The following is a 7,378-nucleotide window of genomic DNA, read 5'->3' as shown; positions in this document are numbered from 1 at the left end:
CTGCTCTCGAAGCCCCCAAAAGCAATCAGCCTAGGTAGTTTAAAGCTGCTTGCTATATGATACAAAGCCTCAGAATATCAAAGCTAGAAGGACTCAGAGAGATTCTCTAAGTCAAGCCCCCTTATTTCTGGGTTCTCTCTGTCTCACGCAAACCTCTACATCACCTGCTAGGGTCAATAACTAGATGCAAGACTGTTCCCCACACTGCCCCCTTCTGGCCATCTGATCTTGAACCCAGGACTTGTTTTTTACCTAAATCTCTCTGTCTATAGTGTGATCTCTATACTTGCTGCGCAGACAGCTTACGCAATCTCTAAACACCTCCTTAGACTTCTGATACCCTAGCTCCCAAAATGTTCTTGAAACTTCTTTACCCATCTGGGGAAACTACAGAGTACAATTTCCAAGATATTTTGCCTACAAGAACCCTTACCTAACATTAAAAATTGTTGATACCCCTCCCCCATTATAGCAGATGTTTGTTTTGTATCTATTGACTGAAAAAATAATGGCCAGAAGCTTCTAGTAATTTAGCTACTTTTGAAAATACATTTGCAGCCAGGCGTGGTGGCTCACGCCTGTAATCCCAGCACATTGGGAGGCCGGGGTGGGCGGATCACTTGAGGTCAGGAGTTCGAGGCCAACCTGAGCAATATGGGAAGCTTTGTCTCTACTAAAAATACAAAATTAGCCAGGTGTGGTGATGCACGCTTGTAATCCCAGCTCCATGCCTGTAACCCCAGTTACTTGGGAGGCTGAGGCAGGAGGATTGCTTGAACCCAGGAGGTGGAGGTGGAGTGAGCCGAGATCCTGCCACTACACTCCAGTCTGGACTACAGAGTGAGACCTTATCTCAAAAAAAAAAAAAAAAAAAAAAAAAAGGAAAAAAAGTAAATACATTTGCACTTTGCTATTTGAAACAGTATCTAGTCACAGTTCAAAAATAAAATGACCAATCTGTGGGAGTCATTGTATTTATTCAGACTGTCGACATAGTGATTCTCTAATAGATTTGCCACACCTTGCACTGACGTTTATGCCCTTCCAAAGATATTCAGCCCTCTCACTGGGAACCACCAACCAGAAATATTTAACTTAATTAGGTAATTATTATCTTCAGAAAGTTAATTTTTCCTATAGATCCCTCATTCATTGAAATGGGATGTTAAATGCCACTGCTGTTACAGGAGCCACGCAATCTGACTTGTTTGACGTAAGGCACTGTAAATTACAAATATAGAAATTCTTTACTCACCTTGATAGTACAACTATATTCTGATAAAGAATTTAGAAAGCAATTGCTTAAAGGGCAGAACTCATGTTTTGTTGTTTGCTAGTTTTCCCTTCTGAAAAGCCTCATTAAGCACAAGAAGCTGAGCAGCAGTTTAGAAAAAAAAAAAAAAAGGGGGGGAAGCAAAACTGCCTTCCCAAATCCAAGAGTTCAAATGAGATTGCATACAAATTGCTGGGGTCTCTCTTCCTTCAGCCTAACAGCTATTATTCCTCCTTCTATGTGACTTGCATGGCAAACAATGGAAAGAACTCGGAGACAAAGAGCCACGACTGGTGAAGACAATAAAATCGCGGTATACATTGCTCGGGCAGTCTACCAGGCTAGTCACTGCCTCGCACATTTCTTCCACATGCTGCTGTCCATCATACAGGTGGCTTTTAAGAAGTGGGGGAAAAAAGCCATCAGTTGTCATAGAAACAGTAGCAATTTGTGCCACCTTTGTGCAAGCAGATAGGAGAGGCTTGCTGCTGCTGTTTGGCTATTGTCCAAGGACCCAGATTGAGAAACATCAACCGGCTTAAAAGGGAGCCCCTGAATTTCTGCCAAGCAAGCAAATCTGCACCCTTCAAGTGGGCTATCACATATTTGCTTAGGATTGAGGGTTAATTAAAATACAAGCCTCGATGTGGGAATGCTTTGAGAAAGACTCAACCCCCAATTCCCCTCTCCAAGGGCCACTGAAGCAACGGTAACCTTTTTACACCAGCGTCATCCTACGGGGAACAGCAGGGGTGACTCTGCTGTTAGAATTGTTAGAATATATAGCAGGTGTAACAACAACAGAGGTGTGGACCTCAGCCTGATGGGATCTGTTCTCATCAGGAGAAGCTATAATCATCTCTAAGAAATCATAATTAAATTGGTGATGAAGGCTAGCATTGGGAAAGGAACAGTTCCCAAGGGTGAGGCTGAACGGCCAAGGATCACGCTGATAGAGCCCAAGGCCGGGTGGCCATGGCTTTCTCTTAACTGATGGCCTCTTTGCGTCTGTTGCAGAATGGTTTCCCCATAAATCAGTAACCCCATCCTTCCACAGTAGGCTCTAAATGGCTGGCAATCCCTGGTGGCTCACCCAATACTGAACGCATCTGCCTGAGAGATGGGACAGAGTGGCCTTAACTATATTAACCTCATGTAAAAATTCAGGTCTGTTTGACTCATGGAGAAGAGATATGTTAGCAGACCTTCTGGGAGTCTCTCTCCTGCTCTTTATGCTTTGTCAGTACTGAAGGAAGCTGAGAGTATCCAAGGTTTGTACATACAGATCAGTGAGCCGGGAGTGGAGACTTAGCGGTTTGGTGTTAAAGCCATGGGTGACACGAGCTGGGCGGCCGGTCTGTCACCAGGCAGAAAGTCAAATCCAAATGAAGGGTAGAAGAAACTAGAGACCTGAGGGAGTGAGGTTGGGAATCACATGGAAACAGTAGGAGGCAGGGGGGCAGCCATTCGCAGGGCAAAGTTTCCAGAGGCTACAAAACAACACAACCTCACACCAGGCAAGTGGGTTGGTTTGAGGCTCGATTCTGAGCCATGGTCCAAATTCATTCAGAAGCTTTTCGCATGCTCCTGCTGGGACGAGAACAAATTGCACACCAGATCAGTCGGATTTGGCTTAGCCGCATGAGACAGAGAGTCAAAAAGAGCCCTATCTTCTTGAATTCTAGGTGTTTGGTAAGAAATAAAATATTAAAATAAGTTAAAAAGAGCCCTGACAAAAGCCAGAAATTGGCAGACCTGGGCTGCTATGGGAGTTTTGCCATAGTTGGGGACCCAGGCTCCTTTCAGCTTTCCTTTCCACTTTTAGGCTGAGGGCCTCAGCCTCAGGGTCCACAGTGGCTGTTATTTCCACAGCAGTCACAACCACATTCCAAACAGCAGGAAAGAGGGAAAAAGGCACACTCTTCCCTTTCTACAAAGGTTTGCCAGAAGTACCAGCCAACACTTCCGTGTAAAACTCACTGGCTGGAATCTAATTATATGGCCATACCTAGCTGCAAGGTGTATGGAAAACACAGTCTTTAGGCTGGATTCATTGCTACTTTGAATAAATTACTGCTGCTAAGTAAAAGAGGAAAGAGATATTTATAGGTAACTAAACGTCTCTGACAATCAAGGTATTTCTTCTAGCACTTCTGATGAGCCTCTGAGAATAGCTCAGTCATAGTCACACATTCTACAGCAAGAAGGTCTTTGCACAGTCCACAGAACAAAGCACCCTCTCCCTGAGCTGTGGAGGACAGTGCTGGAATCATGGATCCAATGGGAGGAAAGAAGTTTCAGAAAATCCCATCTATCAGAAGAGGCTCTGGAAGGTAAAGCCCCAGCAGTGAGTCATCACCACCCAGGGACTGAGTCAGTGTCAGAGCAGCTCCTGGCTTGAACCACTCTGGGTCATGCTAAAGGAGGGTCAAGCTTGGCTCCTTTAATAGCTGAGGAAACCAAGGTCATAATCATAACTTTACAAGCAATGGAATCCTTTCGCTGAATGAGTATTCACTCTCCGCAAACACTGTTCTAGGTGCTGTAGACTCAAACACTGAGAAGCATCCCTTCCTCTGAAGATGACTCCTGTATTGCAGGTGAAAGAATAGGTCAATTACAGGTTAAAAGATGGCGTGATAGTAGATGTTGCTTGTGTAGTATGGTAGAATCATCTAAATCATATAGGAAGCAAAAGAAGACTTCTCTTAAGCCGAAATCCTGCTGGGTTTTGAAAGACAAGTTGTTGAAATAACACATAAACAGGTATAAACATAAACCATGATATGTTCAAGGGGAATACTGGTGGTTCACTCTAGGTGGAACATGTGGTAAAAGTGGACAGCTAGAGATTCAATCTTGAAAAATGATAACAGCTAACAGCCTATGATGTGTCAAATTCTGTTCTAAGTGTTTTAGGTATATCAACTCATTTAATTCTCTTGACTACCTTAAGAGTAAATAGCACCATTTTATAGGTAAGGAAACTGAGTCCCAAGAGCAAGTTCACACAGCTAGTATATGACAGAACTCGGAGACAAAGAGCCACGACTGGTGAAGACAATAAAATCGCGGTATACGTTGCTTGGGCGTTCTACCAGGCTAGTCCCTGCCTAGCACATTTCTTCCACATGCTGCTGTCCACCATACAGGCGGCTTTTATGAAATGGGGGAAAAAAGCCATCAGTTGTCATAGAAACAATAGCAATTTGTGCCACCTGTGTGCAAGCAGATAGGAGAGGCTTGCTGCTGCTGTTTGGCTATTGTCCAAGGACCCAGATTGAGAAACATCAACTGGCTTAAAAGGGAGCCCCTGAATTTGAATGTAGGCAGTCTGAACCTAGGATCTGTGCTCTTAGCCACTACACAAAACTGTATCATACTACAATCTGGTAAAGGATGATTATAACTTGGAATTTGAACTTTCTTTGAAAGGGAATGAGGAACCTTTGAAGGGTTTTAAACTGAATGGTGCTAGGGACAAATTGGTGTTCTGAATCTTTTCTAAAGAAAGTGTCTCTAAGCAAGGTGCAGTGGCTCACACCTGTAATCCCAACATTTTGGAAGGCCAAGGTAAGAGGATCACTTGAGCCCTTGAAGTTCAAGACCAGTCTGGGCAAAATAGAGAAACCCTGTCTCTCCAAAAAAATAAAAAATTAGCTGGGCATGTTGGCACATACCTGTAGTCCTAGCTAATTGGGCGATTGAGGTGGGAAGATCTCTTGAGCCCAGGAGTTTGAGGTTGCAGCGAGCTATGATCTCACCACTGCACTCCAGCCTGAGCAACAGAGCAAGACCCTGTCTCAAGGAAGTCTCTCTGAAGGTGTGTGAAAGTCAGAAGGGGTGAGACTGAAGTGATGAGCCAAACTAGGACAGCTGGGACCTGAAGGCACGCAGACCTGTTTGGGTGAAGTCAGTACTAGGAAGAAGTCCCTGGGAGTACTGACATCATGAAGTCCAGTTGCATCCAACAGGGTAGACGGGCAGCTGGAGCACTGCCTCAGAGAGCCAAGTAATTGTATCAGAAGAACCCAGAAATAGACACCCAGCACAGCGTCCAGCATTTAGGAGCAAGACTCTGGTCCCAGGATAACTGGGCACAAGGAAGGCGAGAGAAGGTGATCAAAAAATGCCAGAAGGTGAGGGCAGGTGCTGTGGCTCATGCCTGTAATCCCAGCATTTTGGGAGGCTAAGGCAGGAGGATCCCTTGAGCCCAGGAGTTTGAAGCTACAGTGAGCCATGATCCCTGTACAGGGAAAGGGTTCAGGAGCTCAGGCCCTGTAGGTAACAAGACTAGGACTCAGTTACCAGAACAGCAGTATAAGCAGAGCTTAGACACAAAGAATCGGGCAAGAACCTAGTTCCTAGAACCTACTCTTAGAGTTACTACAAAGTGAAAGGGAAACCATCACAGGCGAACTCCATGAAGTAACATCAAAGCTCCCAGCTTAAAGATCCCACTGTCCTAATGTTCTGGACAAGAATTTCAGGTCAGGCTGAAAAATTGGTTCAGGAGGAGGCTCAGGGGCCTTGCCCAGGCTGCTGGAGGAAGCAGCCAAGTAGCGTGTCCCTGAATTTCTGGCCCAGTCCTAGCCCTAAGCCAACCCAACCCCCCGAACCCAGAAGTTTTCACCACAGGGCATGGGACACTAGAAACACAATGACTTAAATAGATGCTAAAAGGAATCTGGGTGAAACCACTGGAAACATTCAAATGACCGAGCCCAAGAATCTTGTATTTAATCAGGGTTCTCCAGAGGAATAGAACCAATAGGATATATACAAGGGCAGGGAAAGACCAACGTCCTTGCTCAAGCAACCAGGCAGGAAGCAAAAGGTGGCAAACTCCTTCCCCTACCTTTGTTCTACTCAGGTACTGAACAGATTATTGGATGATTCCCACCTACATTGGTAAGTATGGACCTTCTTTACTTGGTCTTCTGATTCAAATGGTAATTGCACCCTCATTGACTGTTGCAGAAATAAATTACAAATACATATAGGAAAAAGGACTTCAAAAGGCTGCGGTATCAAAGTGGCAGTTAAAGAGAAGGCAATACTCAGAGTTGCAGGTGGAGCAGCGGAAACTATGTTTATCAGCTTTACCCAGCCATCCCTCAGCCCAGTCAAGTTGACACATACAATTAACCATCTCAGAACTTGTGACCAACAAATGGATTTTGGATGCTGTCATGCCAAGTAGGCTTTCTTATCCCTAGTCTTTCAAGCGAAGTTTCATCTGGCTTTTCTCAGTAGGACCATCAAGTCCACAGAAGCCACGTCTTCCCCACTTTGACATGAGCAAGGAGATCCCAGGCATATAGCCTATAAAGGGGGTCAGACAGGGAAAGAAGCTGGAAGTGGACCAGCCAGAGTATCCCACTGGGATTTTGACAGCTGGAAGGCATGACAGAGATCTACTGTGAGCTGCACAGTGCAAGCCATCTGGATCTTGAGCAAGCAGCACAATCTTCTGACTCCCAAGAGGAGTCTAACCTCTGGGTGGTTAGTGAGGGGGAAGGTCCCTACCCAGAAAAGGTGTTGAAAAGGTGTTGCCATGTGAGAAGGATCAAGATGCAAAAGGAAGTTGGCACAGTGGAAAGAGCACAAGCCTTGGGATTGTTTATTTATTTAGGAAATATTTCTTGAGCTCCTAATACGTGTCACACTCTTCTGGGGATGCAGCAGCAAGCATTGACTTCTTGGCATGAAGTGGAAGGGAAATACCTTTACCTTCAATTTGTGGAAATGAAAACAAAATGAGGGTAGGAAGACATGGTTCCCTGTTATCCAGAAACTGACAGAGAAGCTTCAGAATTTTAGACCATTGTGAGGGAGGGCAAAAACCATAAAACAAATAAACTATACAACAACAAAAAAACTAGATTGTATCACAGTGACAAATCAAGAACAGCTGTGGAGTATCCCTTGCATTTTCTCTATTTTCTTTCTTATTATTCTAAAGTCAAGATAACAACTCTGCAGTTACAAACCATCATTTAAATGTGTATACACTACACACTGGAGACAACCTGGCCCTGAGGAGCAAAACATCATGTGTGTTCATTGCCTTGAATCTGTCACCACAAAACCAAAACCCGTGCT

General features: G+C 44.6%; 1 annotated feature.

Annotated features, from left to right (window-relative positions):
- Positions 5,702-5,781: an enhancer, noted in NCBI's record as "active region_1400". NCBI's record gives its function as "activates an Ori minimal core promoter by ATAC-STARR-seq in GM12878 lymphoblastoid cells {active_cell/tissue: GM12878}" and the evidence as "EXISTENCE:reporter gene assay evidence [ECO:0000049][PMID:35858748]".

Source organism: Homo sapiens, chromosome 1 (genome assembly GCF_000001405.40).
Source record: "Homo sapiens chromosome 1, GRCh38.p14 Primary Assembly".
NCBI lineage: Eukaryota > Metazoa > Chordata > Mammalia > Primates > Hominidae > Homo > Homo sapiens.
The sequence above is the reverse complement of the archived record's forward strand: the minus strand, read 5'-3'. Positions and strand labels throughout refer to the sequence as shown.